The 25,698-nt window shown below is 41.3% G+C and overlaps 1 long non-coding RNA gene across 1 annotated transcript; it reads right to left on the reverse strand.

Annotated features, from left to right (window-relative positions):
* Positions 1–15,177: 15,177 nt before the first annotated feature.
* LOC124903047 (uncharacterized) lies at positions 15,178–17,929 on the reverse strand. Its single transcript, XR_007063511.1, has 2 exons — positions 16,128–17,929; positions 15,178–15,708 (listed from the first exon to the last, which is right to left on the reverse strand). It is a non-coding gene; the product is annotated as an uncharacterized LOC124903047 (long non-coding RNA).
* Positions 17,930–25,698: the final 7,769 nt, after the last annotated feature.

The following is a 25,698-nucleotide window of genomic DNA, read 5'->3' on the forward strand; positions in this document are numbered from 1 at the left end:
TCTCTGTCAAACCAGAGGGTCATTTTTCTCTTTGGAACATTAGAAACAAAGATGAACTTGAGCTATTTGGAGAGAATATTTAGATTTTTCTGTTAAATTTATTTCACCCCAAGGAGCACTTTCATGGTTCTATGAAAGTGCTTAGATTGATCTCTGAAAAGGAAGACACAGCATGTCTTAAATTTGACTGTTTTAAAACCAATTAAGTTCCCTGCTCTCAGCCAACAGTGCAACGGGGGAGCCTGAAAAAGCACACTTTGTTCCATTATGCGTGACTTAAGTGTGCAGGTGGATGCATGCAGTACCCTTTCAGAAAATGCAGACCCCCCAGAGAGTTGCAGCGAGTACCCCAAACATATAAACTCAGGGTCATTTGCGAGAGGATTATTAGAATTTTGATAGGTATTTTTACAAAGTAGGGAAGCCGTAAAGACTGAATCCCAAACACTCTGTTTGTGTATTTCTTTTCCTTTATTTTTTGTTTCTTTTTTAAAGGATATTTACTCTCTGAAGCAAAGCAGAGGCCATAAGAATGGACATTTGGGGACACAGAAATAGGATAGAAACTCAAAATAAAGTGGTGAGGAAAGGATCGATTGCTCAGGCAGAATTATCAGGATTTCCATTGAGATCAAGTAATGAAGAATGGTTGGGCAGGTTTCCCTCCTCTGACTCACACAGCATAGATGGTATCCAGGCTACTTTGCAGTCAGCTAAGAGTAATAGCTGTGATATACAATATTTTAACAAGAACAATGGCCACTGCAGTTTAGAGTCAGGAGAAAAAACCTTTCCGTAATAAACACTCTTGATGAGCTAAAGTCAATAGTGCGTTGAGATGCAGTCACTTTGGAGGTAGAGCTGCTTTGGTCAGGATCTATGGAAGCTAAACCTACACTTACCTTATAATCCAGTAATGACACTCCTAGGTATACACTCAAGAGAAATGAACATATATGTCCAGCACAAGACATGTGCATTTATCTCCATAGCAGATTTATTAATAATAGCCCAGACTAGAAACAATGTGATGGAATATTATACAACTAAAATAATTGACTTAACTTGCATTTTTGAATGAGATAATTGGGACTGGATTTATCTTCTCATCTGAAACAACAAGTAAAATAAAATGGACAAAAGTATGAAGCAATGTATTTTCAAAACATTGTACACCAGACAACACAACAGAGTGATCCCTGCGAGGCAGAAACAAACATGAAACCTACAGTTGCACTCTAAGTGCTTTGAGAGAGTTTTCAGGACAGATGCAGGATGAAGCCTAAGATTCCCTGGCTGGAGGAGGTGGAGCTGAAAGTCCCAGGAGACTAGGTAGCTGGAGTTTGTAACACTAGGTGCCCATGAGAGGAGAGCTGAGAGACGGAAGCTGGGAGATCTGCAGGCGCTTCCCTTGGAGTGCTCCTCAGTGCATGCCTGTGGACAACTCAAGAGGGCTGAGGGTAAGAACCACCCCAAAGCTTAAGGAGCAATGCCTGCTACTCACAGCGGGCCTCCCCACCTAGATCGCTCTGCACTTTGTTTTTTCTCAGATCCTTCCAGTTGCAGAGTCCAGCCCTCCCAGATTACACTGGAAACTGACTTAAGCAGACACATATTCAAGATTTAGGTAGTTGACTGTATTTTATTGAATTGTGTAGAGTTTCTCATTTTTAGCTTGGTTTTCTTCGCCTCCTCCATTTCTACCTCTGAGCTCCAACCTTAGAGATGCTCCCCTCCCACCACCCCAGGCATTCTAAATTCTCTAGTTATCCTCTCCTCCAGAAGGAAGCTTTGCCATTAGATATCCGTCCTACACCAAGCTGTTCATTAATGTAATCCTTTCACATGGAATCCCATATACACCACACTCAGTTCCCCTATTATTAACATCTTGCTGTAGTATGGTATACTTATTACAATTAATGAACCAATATTGACACATTGTTATCAAGTCCAGAATTTGTTCCAATTTTCTAGGTTTTCACCTGATGTCCCTTTCCCAGTCCATGATCCCATTTTAGATGTTACGTGGCACGTGCTTAGGTCTCCTTAGGTTCCACTTGTCTATGGCAGTTCTCCAGCTTTCCTTATTTTTGATGACTTTGACAGTTTGAGGAATTCTTCAAAAAGGTATTTTGTAGGATGCCAACCCCCTTACTGCTGAAATTCGTCTGATGTTTTTCTCATGATTACATGAGGGGGGATGATGGTGTTTTGGAAGAGAGACCATAGATACTGACTTTGATTACCTGGGTGAGGTAGTGTTTGCCAGGTTTTCTCCACTGTAAAGTTACTCTTTTTTCTCCTGCTTTCACTCGTTGAAGGCAGAATATCCATGCAAATTATTTGGGATTCCTGTTGCATGGAAGATTTGTCCCTTCTCCCTCATTTATGAATTTATTCAATCATTTATTTCTATCAGTATAAACTCATAAACATTTATTATCAGCATTTCTCCAAAGAATCTTGGCTCCTATTATTGGAGAATGACATTAGAAACCAAAATCTGACTAGGCGTGCTCATTGCTACTGGGTAACATTTTTTATTTTTATTTTTTAGAGACAGGGTCTTGCTATGTTGCCAGGGCTAGAGTGCAGTGGCCATTAACAGATGTGACCATAGTGTACTACAGACTGAAACTCCTGGGCTCAAGTGATCTACCAACATCAATACAGGAATGCACCACTGTGCCTGCTTTAAAAAATTTTATATATATATATATATATATATATATGAATCATTTATTTTAGGCCCTTTTAGCTAACTGAGCAAGGAAATATATGTGTGTATACTAACCCATGCATATACATGTATCTATAGCTATTTCCATATGTAGTCATCTCTGTTAAGGTAAACAAATTCATGTTGATGTTCCCAACTCTAATTCATTATCACATGGATAGTTCTAGGTTCCTCTTGGTTACCTATAAATGTCTACTCCAATCGCAAGAAATATACATCCCACCATGCACCATCCATTTACTGAATAATGGAGTTCAATCCTACATGGGTGCTATTTCATTTTATTTTATTGTGAAATAATTTTAGACTCACCTAAAAGTAAAAATAGCCCTGAGAGTTCCTGGGTACACTTCCCTCTGCTTCCTCCAGTGATAACATCTTACATCACCATAATACAATTATCAAAACAAACCAGAAAATTAATGTTGGTACAACACTACTAACTTATTCAGATTTTACCAGTTTTTACATGCATTTATTGTTTTTTTTTTTTTTGGTGAATAGTTGTAGGAAATTTTATCACCCGTATAGATTCACTTAACCACTGCCCCCAAACAGGAAACAAAAATATCCCATCCTCCTAAAAAAAACCCCCTTACGCTACCTCCTCACAGTTTCATCTTCTCCCCAGCTCTGCCTCCTACGCTTCATCATGATAACTTGTTCATTCACATGAGATGGTACATGACCTCTCAATTGCTTTTCTTCATTCACCATCATACTCTTGTGATCCATTCAATTTGTTTATCAATAGTTCATTTCTTTTTCTTGCTAAGTGAGTATTCCACCCTCAGGATGTACCACAGCTTACTTGTCCTTTTGAAACCAGCCCAATTGTCCCATAGAACTGATGGTTTATTTATGATTTCTTTTGAATAAATGTAGAAATGGAATCTTCCAGTCTTGAAATGTAAGAAAGTTACATTTTTCCTATCTGATTTTTTTTTTTTCAGGAAACTGACCATCAGGCCTCCCAGAGAGTATCAAGGAGCTGAAACTCACCAGGTCACTGCACCTGCACAATGAGATGCCAAGCCCCTCACCCGTCATGACTTCCTCACTGACTGCCTGCTTCCTGTTGACCAACTCCTCTTCCTTACCCCTCCCTAATTCCTGTTTTCCTGTACATGGTGACATACCTTCCTTGCTATATGAACCCTTAATTTTAGTTGGTTGAGGAGATAGATTTGAGAATGATCTCCCATTTCCTTGGAGCACCCGATTAAAGCCTTCTAGCACCCAATTAAAGCCTTCTTCCGTGGAAATACTCCTGGTCTTGGTGATTGGCTTTCTGTGCAGCCAGCAACAGGACCTAGATGGAACCCCTGGTGTGTTGGTAACATTTTCACCTTTTGAAAGACATTTGGGTTATTTCTGGCTTCTGGCTATTATAATTAAGACTGCTATGAACATTTGTGCACAGGTTTATGTGTGAACAGAAGTTTTACTTTCCCTAGGATAAATACCCAGGAGTTGTTGGAATACAGATGTGGTAACTGAGATACAAAGCGATTAGGAGACATGTCCAAACTCACCCAGTTTGTAAGAGGAAACTCAAGATTTAAGCATGAGAACTCTAACTCTAGACCCTGTTTTTATAACCACTATGCTATGGTGCTCCTTAATAACCAAAATTATAATAATGTTAACATTACATTATCACTTAACATATCTGGGCCAACATGAAGTTCTGCATTATAATCATCTTTAATATTCACAGCCTGCCCCCGTGAGGGAGGGTCTGGCATGGGTCTTCATTACAGATGAAGGACTGAGGCTTAAGGAAGTTATGTAATTTGCTGAGGAGCAGACTAATATTTGATGGTGACAGACAAGACCCAGGGTCAAGGCAACTGCTCTCTCTGGAAGGGGAGGGGGCGGAGACTTTGTCCTTGGTTGCGTGGTGTTTACTATGTGCATAATGGTGGCTACTCCTGGCTCCATGATGAGATAGAGCCACATCTCTGTCAGTGAGAACTGGGACCGTGAACATTCTAGGACAGTACATCCCTCTAAGACTCCGACAGGGCCAGCTCATTCCTGTGGGTGGCATATTAGATTGCAATGGCTTCTGTGCCGATTCTGTGTTTGCTTTTCAGGGTTTTAGGGCTAGTTTATTAGCATGTTGATAATTCAATTTGCCATACTTCCATGAGATATTTGAGCCATGAAATGTCTAATAAAGATTTAGGACTGGGGATATTTTTATTTTAAGCAAATGATAGAAGTATTTGCTCTAAGCAATAAGCTTCTTTGGTCCAAGCAACAGAAATCATCTCTGGCTATCTTAAGCAATAAGAAAAGTAACCAGGAGAGCATCAGGTGGCTCCAAGAATCAACCAGAAGTCTGGAGAACAGGCCTCAGAAGAGGAAGCTCCAGGGACCCAGGTACAAGAAAATATCCCACATTTTCTTTAGTCAGTTGTTGCCAAAGGAAGCTCCAAACATTTCCAGCTTCCTGCATTTATGAGACCTGCTCTGGGTTTCCACTCCCACTTACTTATAAGTGAATGTAGAGTCACATTCTCTTCCCAGGAGCTATTTACAGCTTTACCCTAGCTTCCAGATATAGTTTGAAAACGTCTACTTTTCCCAGACTCAAGGAGGCTTTTTTCCCCTTTCCATTTGTGAACAAATGGGAATTGCTTTTCTAGGCAGGGGGCCTCCTTCCACATTTAAAATCTTGCTACTTAGGCCCCCTTCCCAGGTGCTGGTATTGAATTACAATATTAGTTTCCCACATAAGTGAGAAAGTTTTTTCCCCAGGAAAAGGGGAAAGGTAAAGTCCCTGCAGAATCAAAGCAAACACAGGCTTTCGTCACCAATGACAACCTTGGCTAAGGCCATCCTTACCACTTCAGGAAGATGATCCCTCTGTTGTGTTTCACAGGTTCAAATATACCCTCCTCCTCAAATGAGACGAAGCCATTGTTCACTCAGAGATCAAAGTGAGCTACTGTGCTGGACTCTGACTCAAAGCCTGGGTGGTGAATGGCACTGCATGAGAGTGGCAAAAGAGTATCCGAGTTTATTATAGGAACCAAAGCCTTAATTCTTCGACTTTTAAGCCCATTTTGCCCACCCATTGTATATAGTGAAGGCCTATCTGATATGGTTTGGATTTGTATTGCCACCCAGATCTCATGTTGAATTGTAATCTGCAGTGTTGGAGGAAGGGCTTGTTGGGAGGTGATTAGATCATGGGGGTGGATTTCTCCCTGGCTATTCTTGTGATAGTGAGTGAGTTCTCATGAGATCTGGTTGTTTAAAAGTGTTGTGATAGCAAGTGAGTTCTCATGAAATCTGGTTGTTTAAAAGTGTGTAGCACCTCTCCACTCTCCCTCTTTCTTCTGTTCCAGCCATATGCGACATACCTGCTTCCTCTTTGCCTTCCACAGATGATTGTAAGTTTCCTGAGGCCTCCCCAGCCATGCTTCCTATAAAGCCTGCAGAACCATGAGCCAATTAAACCTCTTCATAAATTACCCAGTCTCAGGTAGTTCTTTATAGCAATGCAAGAATGGACTAATACACTATCCCTGCACCGACAGCCTCAAGGCTACCTCATTCCACCGCTGTTCTCTGCATTCAAGTCATGGAGCCTGATCTTTTCACCAAGAAAAAATAAATTTTCCAGAAGGCTTGTGTTTTCACCTGCCTTTCAGCTGAGGGAAAATTCATCCCAAAGGAGCCAGCACTTTGCCTGGTGAGCTCTGTGTACTTACTTTCCTCCCACTAATATTTCCATTTTTTGCCTGAAGAATGTTGTTGGGCACTTCTAAAAAGAGTAGGAAAAGCTATACTATAATAGAGTTTGTGTCTGCTTATTGAAGTGTTATGTGCCGAACTGACCTATAATGGGAAAAATAGAAAATTGTTTTATTTATTTAATCAACTGGATTAGAGTGTAGGAATTGAGTTTTATATAAAATCCTACATGGTGTCTGGTTAGTAATAGACACTTATCAGTGTAAAGAGACAGTGGAATATCTACCTTCCTTTTGTTGCCCTAGCATATATTTCAAGCTTCATTTCATTGGGTTCTAGATTTTCTGAAGCTAAAACCTTGACCCCCATACCTATCTTTCAGGGAGACCGTATGAGATAGAGGTGAAAAGATCTGGTGTGTAATAATAGCTGACATTAATTTTGCACTTGATGTATAACTGACATTAATTATGCACTTGATGTATTTCAAGAACCTTTCTAAGTCCCCATTTGTTTTCATAAAATCTTCACAGTAGCTCTCCAAATGAATGAAATATTTGTTTCTGTTTTGCAAATAAAAAGTCTTCTTTAATGTTTGTAGTTTTGTAGTTTTCAGTGTACAAGTTTTTCACCACTTTGGCTAAATTTATTCCTGTGTATTTCATTCTTTTTTGATGCTATTGTAAATAGTATTCTTTCTCTAATTTCCTTTTTGGATAGTTTCTTGTTAGTGGATAGAAGTGGAACTGATAGTTGTATGTTCATTTTATAATTTGCAATTTTATTGAAGGAATTTACTTATTCATTCTAACAGAACTTTTTTGTGTAGTCATTTGAGTTCTTGCCATGTGTCATCTGCCAACAGAGATCATTTTACTTCTTCCTTTGTGATTTGCATGTCTTTGTTTATTTTTCTTGACTAATTGCTGTGGCTAAAGCTTCCAATACTATGTTTAATACAAGTGGTAAGAGTGGGCATCCTTGCTTTGTTCTGGATGTTAGAGGAAAAGCTTTCAGGTTTTCACCAACGAGTATGATGTTAGTTGTTAGTTGCTATTCATATATAGCCTTTATTATGTTAAGTAAATTCCTTTTTTCGGGTGAGAGCAGAGTATCACTCTGTCATCCAGGCTGGAATGCAGTGGCTTGATCTCAGCTTACTGCAACCTCTGCCTCCTGGGTTCAAACAATTCTCCTGCCTTGGTTTCCCAAGTAGTTGGGATTACAGGTGTGTGCCACCAGGCCCAGCTAATTTTTGTATTTTTACTAGAGATGGGGTTTTGCCATGTTGGCCAGGCTGGTCCCAAACTCCTGACCTCAAATGATCCAGCAGCCTCAGCCTCCCAAAGTGTTGGGATTACAGGTGTGAGCTACTTCGCCCGGCCTAAATTCCTTCTGTACCTATTTTGTTGAGAGTTTTTATTATAAAAAAGTTGAATTTTGTCAAATTTTTTTCTGCACTCTGAGGTGATCATGTGATTTTTATCTTTCATTCTGTTAATACAGTATATCACATTAATTGGTTTGCATATGTTGAAAAACCTTTGCATCTCAGTAACAAATTTCACTTGGTCATGGTGAATGATCCTTTTAATATGCCATTGAATATCATTTGCTAGCATTTTGTTGAGGATTTTTTTCTCTCTGTTTCTGAGGGATATTGGCCTGTAATTTTGTTTTCTCGTAGTATCATTGTCCGTCTTTGGTATTGGACTAATGTTAGCCTCATAAGAACAGTTTGCAAGTGTTGCTTCTTCAATTTTTTGAATCCCCAAAGTAAAAAGCAAAAGCAAAAATAAAACTGTTGTTTTTCTTTTTCCATCATGCCTTATCGTCCCTGAAGCAATAAACATGCAATACTCTAGCTGTTTCCTAAATGGGAAGAAAAATTACAGGATAAAATTTAATACATGAGCTCCCATTAAAAAATATTATTCCACCACATATGCCATGTTTTAAAAGATATATTATGTTCCCTAGTGGAATGGAGGTGTATGCAAAGGAAGCTGGTATATGAGGCTGAGATCTTATCACTTGTTTGTTCCTTTCTGTGCTGTTATTTTGTTATCTCTCAGTGACTCAATAGTTCCCAGAAAGTATGATTATATGCTTGAGACACTGTTCCCAAGCCCAGTGCTTTTGCTCTGTTCCATCAGCTGATGGCACAAACGTTCATGCACATCATGACTATGGTGATGCGTCACACTCAAACCATCTGCCTCATCTCGTCAGTCCCACCCTTGTGGAATATTTTTTCCTCTTGGATCCCTCCTCATGCCTCTTTAGTAGTTTTTCTTTATTTCCCCAAGTATCAACGCCAGAGAGCGCCCAGGCTCAGTCTTGGACCTCTTCTCCATCTACATTCTCATGGAGTCTTGTGGTTTTAAACATCATCTATACACCAATGTTTCTCAAATGTATATATCCAGCCGGAGGCATCCCTCTGACTCTAGAGTCATATATCCAAATTTCTTCTTGATATTTTCTATTGGATGTATGAAATATTTCTCAAATTGAGCACATCCAAAATTAATCCTCATCTTCCTAGTGCATTTATTACAGTTTTATCTCATTAAATGGCACCATCATTCATGCAGTTGCTCAGGCCAAAATCTTTGCAATTGTTCTTGAATCTTCTCTTTTTCTTATAACTGACAGCAAGTCTATCAGTAAATCCCATCAGCTCTACTTTTAAATAACCGGAATCTGATCAATTCTGGTGACGTCAGTGCTACCTGGTCCAAACCACCATTATGTCTCTTGACTGAATTACACAACAGCCTCCTGACTGATCCCCCCTATTTCTGCTTTATTTTCTCTATAAAAGTGAGGACAGTGAGGGTAGAACCTAGAGTTTATGCACTTCTGAATCCCCAGTGTCTACAGGATTGTGAACATGTATCATGAGCTCAAAAAAATATTTGATGGGACGGTCATGGTGGCTCACGCTTCTAACCCCAGCACTTTGGGAGGTTGAGGTGAGTGGATCACTTGAGCCCAGGAGTTGGAGACCAGCCTAGGTGACTTGACGAAATGCTGTCTCTGCAGAAAATACAAAAATTAGCAGGCATGATGATGCATGCCTGTAGTCCCAACTAAGTGGGAGGCTGAGGTGGGAGGGTTGTCTGAACTCAGGCGGCAGAGGTTGCAATAAACTGAGATCCTGCTACTGCACTCCTGCCTGGGTGACAAAGCCAGACCCTGTATGAAAAAAAAACCCCATATATATAACTACATAATGGAATATATATATATAAATATAAAATGAATGAATCCTTTATGTAGCCTTTCACTTTAAATATTTTCTTCTAAAAATTTTTCGAAGAAATAAGGATATTGAAACATTATTGTTTTAAATCAAAATTCCTGCTTGAAGATTCAAGAGAATTTGTGTGTTTGGGGAAAAGGAGTGTCTGACATTTTGAGCTTCCATTACCCTGGTTCTCAGGCACCAAAAGGCTTGGAAAGCTGATGCAGGATAAATTCTGGGGAAAGAGACATTTGAGTGGATAATTTATATCATAACCTTGTTTACAAGCACAAAGAGAAGGCTGAACTTAGGACATGCTCTTTACAAAACTTTCCAATTGGAATCAAATCTAGATCCTAAGTTTTCTGTTGTCTGAAGGGACAGCACAGTATGCTCAACCAAAAATACACTGTTCCCTTGAAAGCTGTTGTCATCATAAAACACTGTTTAAGAACACAGGTGCCACCTCATATTTTTAGCTCTTGGTTTTGGATGAGAGCAGCGATGAGAGATTTATGTGCCTGTCAAACAAGGACAAGATAAAGCATATTCTCCTGGTGCCTCATATATTTTCCTCATATATTTTTAGTTACATATTTTGCTCATGGTGCTGGTGATATCTCCTTTTTTTTTGGTGTCTGTCTTCTCACTCTGCTTTGATTCATATTAATTACTAGGAGACAAAGATGTCATTGCTGTGAGCCAGACTGAAAGAAATTTAGAAGTGAAGGAGAACATCATTTCCTAGGATGCAGACTTCTCTTTCTTATACAATCAATTATCAAAATGTAGCCTATGTATGACAGACATAGAGATATGCTATGCAGGTGAAATTACTGTGCACAATCTCTGGCTTTTTAACACCTGGAAAGTTTAAAAGAAATGGCTTTTGTTATTTATTATTGAGTATTCCTAATGATTCAATAGCAGTCAGAGTTGATGAATACCTGGACTCCAAGTCTCTCAGCAGCTAAATGTTTGATTTGCATTGTGCCTGAGCTTTGGAGAGCTGGAAAAGATTTCAGCACCTAGAGGATAAGTTGGGCTATGAATTTATGTGTTTGTTGCTATGGTAATTTATATTGGCATCATTTCAATACCCTCCTCAAACTTGGGCATTTCATGACAATGTGACACCTTTACATAATTTAACAACAAGCTGTGTGCATGAGAACTTAAAAATCCATTTGAAATATTCCAGAAAATATTAAATCAAGTGGGAATAAATCATTTCAAGCTTGAGATGTATAACCATTTGAACTATGAGAGTGGACATTCCCTGAAAGTGATTTTATAAATGTAAGCATTACTTTTTTTTTTTTTTTTGAGATGGTGTCTCACTCTGTCACCCAGGCTGGATGGAGTGCAGTGGTGTGATCTCCACTCACTGCAAGCTCCGTCTCCCGGGTTCACGCCATTCTCCTGCCTCAGACTCCCAAGTAACTGGGACTACAGGCGCCCACCACCACGCCCGGCTAATTTTTTGTGTTTTTAGTAGAGATGGGGTTTCACCATGTTAGCCAGGATGGTCTCAATCTGACCTTGTGATCCGCCCACCTCGGCCTCCCAAGGTGCTGGGATTACAGACGTGAGCCACCGCACCCAGCCACATTACTTCTGATAAATGATGTAAAACTGTGATTTTTCTGTAAAGGGAATACCTTTGCATCCAGACCAGATTGCCCCCTCCCCACTTTCAAGTAGGCAAAAGAAAACACGTATTTGCTAATGATTAGGACATGTGGCAGGAAGAACTTTTTCACAGGCTTCAGTGATATATTCATAATCACTGACCACAAGACCACGGGACACTAGTTTTTGGCATGGATACTGCTTATTTAAAGATGTAATTACTACAGACTGAATTTGTGTCCAAAATGCTGCCAATAGGTTAAATTGACAATGGTGTTAGTCCTGATCATGATTAAATTATTTACATTCCTGTATATTCTTTTTTTCCTCTTTTTAACTCAAACGTTTTTTGTTAAGAAAACAACATCAGTATTATTCCCTGGTGTGTCATTTTTCACTGGGATGAATGGCATAGTTTACATTTGTCATTATTCTGATTTTATTCTAATGCTATTAGTATTTTCTTGCATCAAAGATAAATATGTTTATATAACCAAGATAAACCTTGATTAACGCAGGGTTGAAATTAATTTCAGAGTTAGGAGAAAATGTCAGCTGCGCACCATGCTGTAAACAGGTTTCCCCAAGTGTCATGCTCCCATTCAGGACCATACAACCAGGCCATCAGTGATGTCCTTCATGCAAGCATCATATTTTGTTTTCAGAGCTGAGCCTAAAAGATGATTTGAAATAATGAATACATCGATAAAGCCTTTATAGATACAAGTCAGAATTGTTCTCTCCTTAATTTCTGCATACTGTTTAACCTTTTGACTCTACCACACATTAAGCTGTGCCTTGTGTTAGAGTTAAAGTGAGCATTTCTATCCTTTTCAATCCTGAACACCTGGAAAAATAGTTTATTGCTCAACTCTTGTGTCCCAGTAACCTAGCCCAACTCTTCACTGTACATAGTAGGTTCACAGTCAACATTTTTGAAATTACCTCTTGGAATTCTAAGCCTCTTGGCGTTTCAAGGATGAGATTTGTATGCCTTTTCTTCAGGAGATGTGAATAAGCATGACAGGAGAACAATAAATACTTATCATCTTGTTTTAAAATCTTGAGTAAGTGAGTACTTCCATACTTATCAAATTACTGGGGTCTATGAGCGATATATTAAATATCAACCCAGTAAATTATCTTCTGTTTCCTTTTCATTAAGAACAGGAAAAATATAGACACACATTTCTAGGAGTTACTGGCTAGTTTCTTTCTTGATATACATGATGTCATCTTCAGATGACTGGCTGGCAGCCATGCTGGAGGATACACAATGGTGTCAGGACTTTTGGCTGCCTCTTCAGGTAAGTGAGACCCCATGGACTAGTTTTAAGCTTAACTAGCCCTGTGTGGCATTTCATGTTAATCCTGGGTCTCGAGACACCCTTGCAAAGTTAGAAATGCTAAGGGCACGGTGCTGTGTATTTGCACTGCACTATTTTTTTTGATTCCCTTTGCCTCTCTAGCCTGGCTGCTTCCATAGAGTCTCCTGCCTCATGCTTTGCTGAGTGGATGACAGGTGTAGTGAGGCTGGCTGGCATTAAGATGATTAGATCAAAGTGAAGGCTTAGGCCACAGCTGGAGCTATCAGAATCTGTTTCCTGCAAATATAGACTTAGAGATTTACTATTCAGTCTCTGTTTGACATTTGCAAGAAAAAGCCAGGGTCGAGGTGGCCAGGTTTGAGTCATATGCAATGGGATCAGAGAAAGCTTGTCTGCACAGAGAGAAAAGAATGAGGAGGAGAATCAGAGAGAAACAGAGGAAGAAAGAGATCAGGAATCTCTAGAAACAAGGATGGACAAAGGAACTGTCTTGTTTATTGGGAGTTATTACTTTCTAAATCCTAGCTCTTGTGAGGTCCAGTCACACTTTTTTTTTTAGGAAGTGTAATACACATATTTCTAATAAACCCCCTTTCTATGCAGCAAGCCAAAGCAGGTTCTATTCCTTGAAAACAAATCAACTCCTGGCTAAGTCAAATCAATTTCTAAGCTAAACCTCTGCAGTGTGTCTCTTCCCTCCTCAGTAAGCCTCAAGTGAACTCTGATGCCCTCTCATGGATTCTCTCTGCAGGAGACGTGTCTCCAGGTGTCTGCCTGTCTGCTTTGATATCTGGTGCTATGAGATCCTGGTTTTAGAGATCTTCAATCCAGGGAAATTGAATACTTTCTGTTTGGTTGATGGCTAATGGCAGAACATTTTAACAAATATATAGACAGTCCCCAGCTTACAACGTCTCCGCTTAATGATTTTTTGACTTTATGATGATGTGAAAGCAATATGTATTCAGTAGAAATTGTACTTTGAGTACCTGTACAACCATTTTATTTTTCACTTTCAGTATTCAATAAATTTCATGAGATATTCAACACTTTATTATAAAATATGCTTGTTAGATGGTTTTACCCAACTGTAGGCTAAAGTAAGTGTTCTGAGCATGTTTTAGGTCAGCTAGGCTAAGATAATTGGTAAGTTAGGCATATTAAATGCATTTTCTACTTACAATGGGTTTATTGGGACATAGCCCCATTGTAAGTCATGAAGCTTGGTACTGATCTAATCATCAGGTGATCCATCTTCTAGAACATTAATGAATGAGCCACATATGTGCTTATTTATTGGAAAGCAGGACACATATTGATTAATGTGCACAAGTCCGTTTCATGATTAGGGGTGGTATGGTTTGGATCTGTGTCCCCACCAAATCTCATGTCAAATTGTGATCCTGTTTTGAAGGTGGGGCACGGTGGGAGGTGACTGGATCCTGGGGGTGGAGTTCTCATGAATAGTTTCGCATCATCCCCTTGGTGCTGTTCTTGCGAGAGTGAGTGAGTTATCATGAGATCTGGTTGTTTAAAAGTGTATAGCACCTCCCCTCTCTCGCTTTGCCTCCTGCTCCAGCCATGTAAGATGTGCCTGCTTTCCTTTTGCCTTCTGTCATGTTTGTAAGTTTCTTGAGGTCTCCCCGGATGCAAAAGCTGCTATGCTTCCTGTAGAGCCTGCAGATCCATGAGCCAATTAAACCTGTTTTCTTTATAAATTACTCAGTCTCAGGCATTTCTTTTTTTTTTTTTTTTAGACGGAGTCTCACTCTGTCGCCCAGGCTGGAGTGCAGCGGCATGATCTCCACTCACTGCAAGCTCTGCCCCCCGAGTTCACGCCATTCTCCTGCCTCAGCCTCCTGAGTAGCTGGGACTACAGGCACCCACCACCACACCCAGCTAATTTTTTTGTATTTTTAGTAGAGACGGGGTTTCACCGTGTTAGCCAGGATGGTCTTGATCTCCTGACCTCGTGATCTGCCCACCTCGGCCTCCCAATGTGCTGGGATTACAGGCATGAGACACCGCACCCGGCCAGTCTCAGGTATTTCTTTATAGTAGTGTGAGAACTAATACATGGGGTTAATCATGTAAACATCACATATAGTAGAATACTCATTATTTATCCATATTTAATATTCCTTTAATGATAATGTATTTTGTTATTTTACAGATATGGCTGTATAGAATTTTTCACTAAGAGTTATGGATGCTGGAACCTACCCAGGTTTGATTTCCTGCTCTGCCATTCATTAATTGTCTGACTTGGGCAAGGCAAGTCACTTAACCCATGCCTGTTTCCTAATGTGTAAATTAGGACAATAACATCTAGTTCGTAGGGTTTTTTTGTTGTCCATTGCTTCTTTTTTACCTTTAAATGAGTTATTATGTTTAAAGCACACTAAACACTGCCTGGCACATAGTGTTTGATAACTATTAACTATATTGCTGTCAGGTTAAATGATTAAGTCACAAAACTAGTAAATGGCAGATTTAAATAAACAGTTTAACCATAATAATCTTTTGCACTTTTATTGTATTTTAGAAATATCCAAGGACTCTCATATTAATTAATTCCTTGTAGCCCCAAACAGTTTTTGGCTATAGAGGCTAAGCCCCATATTACAGTTGAGGATATGGAAGTTGAAAGAAATAAAAAGATGGCTCAAGTTTATATAAGTAGTATATATCAAAAACCTTCATGTTTTTTTCCAGTCTCCTAGTGCAATGTTGATTCTGCTTTACCACATATGTATTTTAGAAAGATGTCAGCTTTGTTGCTTAATTACAATATATAAAAGGTAGGGGTCCTCTTTTATTTAAGCATTCCAGTGAACTTTAATAACAGAAATGCTGAGAGAAGGGTTTGTTCTAGCGAACTGAGAATTAAGAAGAAAAGTCCTGCATTGTTAGATCTTAATGAAGTAAAGTTTAAATGAGATAGGTCCATTTCCTGTGGTAGGGAGTAGAGGATAACTCATCATAACTCGCTCTCTTTGATACCCCATGATCATCATTTTGAAGACTGCAGTTCTCATCTCATAGGCCTGCAGATAGTAATGTACAAAGAAACAAGAGATGAAATAATTGTTCCCTGAACCACTTGTTCCCCAAATTCTCTTATAAACAAGTCACCTTATGTCACCCTATATACTTTACAAATGTCTCCTCTTCTAAAAATGGAATTAATGGCCTTGGCTAGTCATGACTTCACTCTGCTGTCCTGTGAGGCCCAGATCTGTATAACACTAGGCTTGTCCACACCCAGCACGAAGTGAGTTATATGTGTAGATATCTGCCCCTCACTCACAGCTATAGGAGGAGTTCCTGTTTATAGAGTAGGAAGTGGTTTGGAAGAAGCAGAGCACAGACTTATTAATTTCAATAAATATTGAATCATCCCATCTATCCATCATCCCATATAGCCCAGCACATGGTAATGATAATTCTTTCAACAAATACTTACCAAGAATGTGCTCTATTTTAAGAGTTGTGCTAGCAATGGATGCTGGGAATAGAGCAAGTAACTTGTTTGAAATGTGAAGGATGTACAGGAGTCAGCTATACACAAGAGAAAAGAGGTAGAGCTTATAATTCAAGTGATATTTAAACTGAAACTAGTTGACTGATATGATCCCATAGTTAAGTGTGCTTTATGGTTTGAGTCCTAGTTGAGTTTAATGATTTTGGTTTGAATCCTAGTTGAGTTTAATGATTTTGCCCTTTTTTCCAGAGCTGGATAAAAAGAGGAGAGCTAGAAATATCTTGACATTGGGAGAGATTCATAAATTCTGTGAATGTAGAATAATAAATTCTCTTTTATCCACAACCCTATTTTAAGCATCACAACTCTATTTCTTTCATTGCTGGATAATTATGGCACAGGCTAATACAGCAAAGGCAATACATGGGCACTTCCTTTCTGTCCATTGCAAGTCTGAGTGTTCCCCATTCTTTAGAGCAGGCCAGTGACTGCAAAATTATGCATAAGTAAACCCCTTTGAAAGTTCCTGAAGGACTTCATTGTTTTATTGAGAAAACAAAAGCATTGGCTATTTCTGGTATTTTTGCTCAATAATGTCTATACATGCAAATGTGAGATATTTCATATAAACATGTACGTATGTTAAGTATGTATATGTTTATGGGCATGTGTGTATATAATTTAAAACGTTAGTTTTGTTTTCAATGTATCAATGAAACTTTAAGATCTCTAAGTACAGGAAAGAGTTCATTTTTGCAAGTCATATGAAGAGAAATACTGAAAATTTTCATGTTTCAGATTTCCCATCTTCTAGGAGTACTACACGCAGTTATTTCTATAAAGTAAATTAAAAGCTCCGCTTCCCTAAGAAAGCTCAGTTCAAACAGGCGACCAGGTCCTCTTCCGTAAGGGTTCTTGGATGACGTCAATCGTCAAATACTGGGGAGAAACATCAGGAACAAACGGGTAACAGAAATGTGGCAGAAGCAATTTTCTCCCTATCATTAGATCCTGCCATTGTTATCACAGCAGGAGTATTTTCAGAAGATGAATCTCGTTTGGGGTTTTCTAAGTGTCTGAGCTTGAGGAGTTTTTCCATACATCTATGGATGTGTTTCCCAGCAGTGGTGTCAGGTATGCTTGTGCTTAAATATGCTAATGGGAGCACCCCAGCTGGGAGGGGATGCTGCAGGTGCAGAGGAGCGGAGGGGGACCCGCTGGAGCTGCTCCTGGAGCAAACGGAGGTGTGAGGTCGCATCTCAGGTAGAGAGGAGGCTGCACCCGGAGCTTGGTGCTGGAGGAGGAAACACCGAGCAGGAGAGCACAGATGCAGTGGGCGAGGCTTCTGGAAAACCTTGGCTACCTCAATGTTCTCTGAAATGAGAGGCAATTGGCGTGAATCCAGAACCGGGTCAGCGAATCCCTAGGGTCCCACTTTGGCTTGACGTTCACGGAATTCCCAGGTAGGCCTCAAGAGGAACGGATCCTGCATCCTGAGCTCTGGGACTCGCGGGCTCTGGAGCTCCCGTTGCGTTCAGGCCCCGGGTGCTGCGGCGGGCGCACTCCTAGGCAGGGAGAGGGGTGGCCGCCGTCTCCGAAGCCCGTTTCTTGCCGGGATGCCTGGAGGAAGTGGTTTCTGGGTCTGAATCCGGTGAGCGCGGCCTCGTCCTCTTCCCGCCAACTCCCCGCCCTCGAGGAGCGCCCGCCTCCCACCAGGGGCCAGGTCTCCCTCGGGACGCCCCGCGACTCCGGGCCGCGGGTTTCTGGAATCCATGGGGGCACGGCCCACTCCCGGACGCTCCTTCCCCGCCCCCAGCCCCAACCCCGGCGTCCCCGCAGCGGCTGCATGTGCAGTTGGAGGGAGCGGGTCAAAGCCTGGCAGGACGCGCTCCCAATCCCGCCATTCTCTGCACCACTCGCGATAGGACCAAGAGGATCCTGCGCAGGCGCAGAGCGGAGGCCGAGGTGGCGGTGACGCAGGGCCCAGCGCTCCCTGAAGGGTCAAAGCTCAATCCGAGCGCAGGCGCAGAGCGGAGGCCGAGGTGGCCGCGGGGCGGGGCAGAAGGGCTCCTGTGGGGCCCAGATAGTTTCCTCGCGCAGGTGCAGAAGCCAGGCTGCGGTGCTGGAGTGGCGGGTTGCGGGCCCAGGAATCTTCTGGGAGCAGCTGGGGTGGATTGTTATAGTTTTTTAAAAGTGGCTTTGAACGTTTTTACAGATGTTGGCCTTAAGAAACAGCAGTTTGTGCAAACAAAGGATTCCCTTTTCACAGTAGCTGAGCCGGCTATTAACTAGGCCGGAAGGCTGGGGAGGGAGTTGTAGATACCTGGGCAAATTGGCTTTCTGCTTTATTTTTATGTTAATTTCAAGTAATTCTTGATTGGATCTCAGCTTAAACTGCTCCACCATTTTTTTACGTTTTGGTAACATTTAAGTACTCATTTCCAACATGTAAGGTTTCCAGTTTTGGGGAGAGTGATAGAATTGAAAACAAAATCGCCTCCCTACTCAGATAACCTCTTTACAAAAATAGTGGAGAAAGAAAACAGAATAGAGAAAAAACAAAACAAACAAAAAACAGGAAAAAAATAGAGAAAACAGTTTTATTATAGAATAAGCATTCAATCAGCATGTGATGTGCACCACGTGCAATTTGTTACCAGAAAGGAGTCCTGATCCAGATCCCAAGAGAAGGTTCTTGGGCCTCATGGAAGAGTCAGAAAGTGAAGGAATGTGTGGTGGCTCACACCTGTAATCCCAGCACTTTGGGAGGCCAAGGCAGGCAGATTGCTTGAGCTCAAGAGTTCAAGACCAGTCTGGGCAACATGGTGAGACCCCATCTCTACAAAAAATATAAAAATTAGCCAGGTGTGGTCGTGTACATCTGTAGTCCCAGCTCCTCGGAAAGCTGAGGCAAGAGAATCACTTTAGCCTGAGAGGCAGAGGTTGCAGTGAGTTGACATCCTGCGGCTGCTCTCCAGCCTGAGTGATAGAACTAGACCTTGTCCCCTCACCAAAAAAGTAAAGGAATAAAGAATGGCCACTCCATGGCAGAGCAGCAGCATGGGCTGCTGGACTAAGGATACTTGTAGTTATTTCTTGATAATATACTAAACAAGGGGTAGATAAGTTTTCCAGGAAAGGAGTGGGCAATTCCCCAAACTGAAGGTTCTTCCCCCTTTTAGACCCATATAGGGTAACTTCCTGACATTGCCATGGCATTTGTGAACTGTCATGACGCTGGAGGGAGTGCCTCTTAGCATGCTAATGTTACAGGACCCCACCACTTAGCCTTTGGGTCAGGGGTTTCTGCACTCTAGTCCCTTCTGTGGTTGCCAGGAAGATATTACAGGAAAGGGGTCCCAATCCAGAGCCCAAGAGAGGGTTCTTGGATCCAAGAAAGAATTCAAGGCAAGTCCATAGAGTAAAGTGAAAGCAAGTTAAGAAAGCAGTGGAATCAAAGAATGGCTACTGCATAGACAGAGCAGCCCCAAGGGCTCCTGGTTGCCTATTTTTTACAGTTATTTCTTGATGATGTGCTATATAAAGGGTGGATTCTTCATGCTTCCCCTTTTTAGACCATATAGAGTAACTTCCTGCCATTGCCATGGCATTTGTAAACTGTCATGGCACTGGTGGGAGTGTGGTAAGTGAGGATGACCAGAGGTGACTCTCGTCATCATCTTGTTTTTGGTGGATTTTCTCTGGCTTCTTTACTGCGACCTGTTTTATCAGTAAGGTCTTTATGACCTGTGTCTTGTCCTGACCTTCTGTCTCATCCTGTGACTTAGAATGCCTTAACAGTCTGGGAATGCAGCCCAGTAGGTTTCAGCCTCATTTTACCTAGCCCCATTCAAGATGGAGTTGCTCTGGTTCACATGCCTCTGACACTAATGTATTCTAATTAGTGTATAATGAGCAGTGAGGTTGACCAGAGGCCGTTTTTGTCAATATCTTGATTTTGGTGAGTTTTGGCGGGCTTCTTTACCACAACCTGTTTTATCAGCAAGGGTTTTGTGACCTGTATGTTGTGCTGACCTCTATCTCATTCTGTGCCTAAGAATGCCTATTCTCCTGGGAATGCAGCCTAGTAGGTCTCAGCCTATTTTACCCAGCGTCTGTTCAAGATGGAGTCACTCTGGTTCAAATGCCTCTGACACAATCAGCTAAGAGGCTGCAAAGGTAATCTTATTCTTTTGTACAGCCAAGAAGGTACAACCATATGCATGTGTTCAAGACACGTAATTACTAGTGAGAGGGTGTTCCAGCACCATTTGCTTATAGTTCATCTTAAATTCACCAGGCGATTGGGGTGGCCATCTGTGTTAGCTCATCAGCCTTATCTAGAGAAGAAACACACTTTTCATATCTTTTTGAATCCACTTTTGCAAAAATTATAACAGTGAGAAATTTATGGCAGTGAAAGGGAACTGATTTAAACCAACCCCCCAATCTTGCCTTTCCCTTAATTATTCCTGGGCTTGTGGGCTGAGCTAACTTTGGAAGACATTTAGTTTATGGTTTAAATGATAATACCCTTCTCCCAAAACTCAACTGCTTTTGTAAAACTAATGAAAGGCCATCAGGTTAGGTGAGGAGAGGAATCTGAATTCTACTAAGGTGTAGACATAAATGATTGCCAGTCATTCCTGCAAATAACATCAGTATTGCAGATTAGCCTTTTGAGATATCTTTTCAGGTTTTTTTAAATTTATTTCCTGACTGACACCCATGGCTCCACCTGAACCTGACCATCTGGCTTCTGGGAACCCACCCAGAAGCAATTCAGCTCAAGAGGACAGTTTCCATCCCCTGCCTCCATGATTTCATCTCTGCCCTAACCAATCAGCAGCAAGCACCCATTACCTGGCCATCCCCACCCCTTCCCCCAACCTGCTTTTGAAAAACCCCTAACAATGGGCCTTTGGGGAGACTGATTTGAGTACTAACTCTGTCTCCTGCATATTGTAGCTGGCCTTGTGTCCGTTAAACTCTTTCTCTTCTGCAATGCCATGGTCTTTATGTGTGGAGTGGCAGAAAGAACCCATGGGCCAGTTACTTTTTTTTGGAGGCGGGGACAAAGTCTCACTCTGTCACCCAGGCTGGAAAGCAATGGCGCAATCTCAGCTCACTGCAACCTCCACCTCCTGGGTTCAAGCAATTCTCATGCCTCAGCCTCCGAAGTTATCGGAGGAACCAGCCCCCAATATTTCAACGTAGGTTCTTTTCTATTTTCCCTAAGTGTTGGCTGGTCTGAGAAATAAAGAGTGCAAGAGAGAAATTTTACAGCTGGGCCTCTGGGGGTGTCATCACATATTGGTAGGACCGTGATGGCGACCTCGAGCCACAAAACCAGCAAGTTTTTATTAGGGATTTTGAAAGGGGAAGGGATGTACGAACAGGGAGTAAGTCACAAAGATCACATGCTTCAGTGGGCAATAAAAGATCACAAGGCAAGGGCAAAATTAGAATTACTGATGAGGGTCTGTGTCCTGCTGTGCACGCATTGTCTTGATGAACATCTTAACAGGAAACAGGGTTTGAGAGCAGACAGCCGGTCTGACTAGAATCTACCAGGCTGGAATTTCTCAATCCTAGTAAGCCTGAGGGCACTGCAGGAGAGCAGGGTGTATTTCAGTCCTTTTCTCAACTGCATAAGACAGACACTCCCAGAGCGGCCATCTATAGACCTACCCCTGGGAATGCATTCCTTTCCAAGGGTATTAATTAATAATATTGCTTTCTGGGAAAAGAATTCAGCGATATTCTCTTACTCACATGTCCATCGATAGGCTGTCTGCAAGAAGAAAAATATGGCTCTATTTTGCCCAACCCCACAGGCAGTCAGACCTTAGGGTTTTCTTTCCTCATTCCCTGAAAATCACTGTTACACTGTTCTTTTTCAGGGTACCCTGATTTCATATCATATTGTTCAAACACACATGTTTTACAAACAATTTGTACAGTTAACGCAATCATCACAGGGTCTTGAGGCGACATACATCCTCAGCTTACAAAGATGATGGGATTAAAAGATTAAAGACAGGCATAAGAAATTATAAGAGTATTGATTGGGGAAGTGATAAATGTCCATGAAATCTTCACAATTTATGTTCAGAGACTGCAGTAAAGACAGGCATAAGAAATTATAAAAGTATTAATTTTGGGAACTGATAAATGTCCATGAGATCTTCACAATTTATGTTCTTCTATCGCAGTTTCAGCTGGTCCCTCCATTCAGAGTCCCTGACTTCCCACAACACTGAGTAGCTAGGTGTCTGCTACTGTGCCTGGCTAATTTTTGAATTTTTAGTAGAGACAGGGATTCACCATGTTGGCCAGGCTGGTCTCAAACTCCTGACCTCAGGTGATCCACCTGCCTCAGCCTGGCAGTTACATTTTTGACAGGAGGCAGTTCTGCAACTGGAGGGAGAGGCCTGTGGAAGTTAGGCTCTCACCCTTCCTCAGAAGCTGGGAGAGGGGTGCTATTCTTCCTGATGATTACATTTCAAAGAGATGGGTCCCATGTCCTTGAGAAACACATTCCTAAGTCATAAAGCTGACAAATGGCCTCTTTAGTCTTTAGGAGGATTAATGTACAATTCAAAAGTTCTCTGAGAAAAAGAAGGAGAGGGCAGTCTCTTCCCTTATTTTCAACACGGAGAATTAAGCCTCTTATTTTTAATAGGTATTTGTCCTTTCAGGGACAATGGACAGGGAGCTGGGAGAATTCTCCATGTTACAAATATATCTTAAATTGTACTTGGTATTTTAACTTGAATGCAGACAGCCAAGGTAAAGCTTCACCCTATTCTAGCTGTTATGGAAAACAATTTTGTTACAGGAAAGGGGTCCTGATCCAGACCCCAAGAGAGGGTTGTTGGATATCAAGCAAGAAAGAATTCATGGCGAGTCCACAGTGCAAAGTGAAAGCAAGTTTATTAAGAAAGTAAAGTGGTGAAAGGACAGCTACTCCATAGACAGAGTAGGATGTTCCCGAAAGTAAGAAGAGGAAGGCCTCCACCCTAGGTACAATGCTTGTATATATGAGGAGATGCATTCTGCTATAAGGGTTTGTGATAAAGAATTAATTTTCTTAATTACTATATTTTGCAAGAATCAGTATTATTATCTTTAAAGCAAAATTAGGAATGCCTTTGTTATCCAGATAGCAGGATTATCTGGACACTTCCAAGTCTGGGTCTGTTTTAGTAAACATTATTAATTTGTTCTGTTAACCATAAACATCTAGAGGCTAGGAATGCCTAACTTTCTGAGAACACAGCCCAGCAAGTGCCAGCCTTATTTTCTTAGCCCTCACTCAAGATGGAGTTGCTCTGGTTCGAGCACTTCTGAAAATTTCACATTTAAATGTTTATCAGTCGATGCTTAGCAAATATTTTTCAAGCACCAGCTGCACTCCTGGAGCTGGGGATAAGGTGGTAGAAGAGACAAAGTGGAGGCCTCCTGGAACTCACATTCTAAAGCAGAGCTGTCCAATGTAAGCCACGTCTGTAAGTTTAAGGTACATACTTAAAACAAGTTAAATTAATCTCATAATATAATTTATTTAACTTACATTGTAACTGTCCAAGGCATTCACCTTGCCCACTGCCTCGACAGAGCTGATTCATCAAGACGGGGGAATTGCAATAGAGAAAGAGTAATTCATACAAACGTGGCTATGCAGGAGACTGGAGTTTTACTATTATTCAAATCAGCCTCTTGGAGCATTCAGGAAGCAGAGTTTCTAAGGGCAACTTGGTGAGTGGGGGGAAAGCCAGTGAACCAGTAATTCTGGTTGGTCAGGGATGAAATCATAGGGATTTGAAGCTGTCTTCTTGTACGGAGTCAGTTCCTGGGTGGGGGTCTCAAGATCATATGAGCCAGTTTATCCATCTGGGTGGTGCCAGTTGATCCATCAAGGGCAGTCTGCAAAATGTCTCAAGCACTGATCTTAGGAGCAGTTTAGGGAAGGTCAGAATCTTGTGTCCTCCAGTTGCATGACTGCTAAACCATAATTTCTAATCTTATGGCTAATATTAGTCCTACAAAGGCAATCTACTCCTCAGGCAAGAAGGAGGTCTGCTTTGGAAAGGGGCTGTTATCGTCTTTGTTTTAAACTATAAACTACAAACTAAGTTTCTTCCAAAGTTAGTTCAGTGTACACCCAGGAATGAACAAGGACAACTTGGAGGTTAGAAGCAAGATGGAGTCAATTAACTTAGATCTCTTTCACTGTGGCAGTCATAATTTTGCAAAGGCGGTTTCAATATATCTAAAATATTTTCATTTAAACATGTAATTATATAAATTATTAATAATATATTTTAATTTTTTCTTTTTCATAGTAAACTTGGAAAGGTGGTGTGTGTATTTTATACATACAGCAACTCCCAATTTGGACTAGACCCATTTGAAGTGCTCGATAGCCCCATGTGGTTTATGGTGACCATGTTATACAATGATGATCTAGATGTGAGGCAGAGTACAAACCAGAAAACAAAGAAATATTTGATTAGATTTCAGATGGTGGCATATGTAGCACTTGTTGTTGAGGGATAGTGTCTGAGAAGGGAATTCTCTTTAAGACAGGCTACTGCAGAGACACTCTAAGAAGAAGTAATATTTTGGCCGGGTGTGATGACTCACTCCTGTAATACCAGCACTTTGGGAGGCCGAGGTGGGCAGATCACAAGGTCAAGAGATCGAGACCATCCTGGCCATCCAACATGGTAAAACCTTGTCTCTACTAAAAATACAAAAATTAGCTGGGTGTAGTGGCACATGCCTGTAGTCCCAGCTAATCCGGAGGCTGAAGCACAAGAATCGCTTGAACCCAGGAGGTGGAAGTTGCAGTGAGCTGAGATCGTGTCAATGAACTCCAGTCTGGGCAACAGAGTGAGACTCTGTCTCAAAAAAAAAAAAAAAAAGAAGAAGCAGCAATATTTTGACATAGCTGCAAGTGAAATGGGAGAGTCACCAGCTCCGGAGACCTGTGCCTTACAGGCCAAATATCTTCCCCACCTGATGTGAGCTGTTAGAGGTCTCAATAAACAGATGGAGCTCTTCCCCAGTGCCTTGACACTCAGATTCTGCAACCATGGCAAAAATCTTTCATTGGGGTTTTCTTAGTTTGTTTGGACTGCAGTAACAAAATATCCAAACTGAGTAGCTTATAAAGAGAAACATTTACTATATTTTTTCTGGTTCTGGAGGCTGGGAAGTCCAAGATCAAGGCACTGGCAGATTCAGTGTCTGGTGAGGGCCTATTCCTTACAGGTGGCAACTTCTCAATGGGTCCTCATGAGGTAGATAGGGAACGCAGGGCAAGGAACCCTCCCCACTTTTTTTGCATGCTGTGCTGACTACAGCTGCACCCAGATCCATAGCTGTCAGCCACTGACACTCCCTCTCGTAAAATCAGTTAATCAGACTTAAAAGAAATAGAGCACTTTAACCACAAACATCTTGGCCATCAGCATAGGGACTTTCCAATAGACCCTCCCCAAATACACATGTGCTGTAGGGTTTTAGCTTGCCCTACCCTAACCTT

The sequence above is a fragment of the Homo sapiens genome, chromosome 12 (genome assembly GCF_000001405.40).
Source record: "Homo sapiens chromosome 12, GRCh38.p14 Primary Assembly".
NCBI classification, from domain to species: Eukaryota; Metazoa; Chordata; class Mammalia; order Primates; family Hominidae; genus Homo; species Homo sapiens.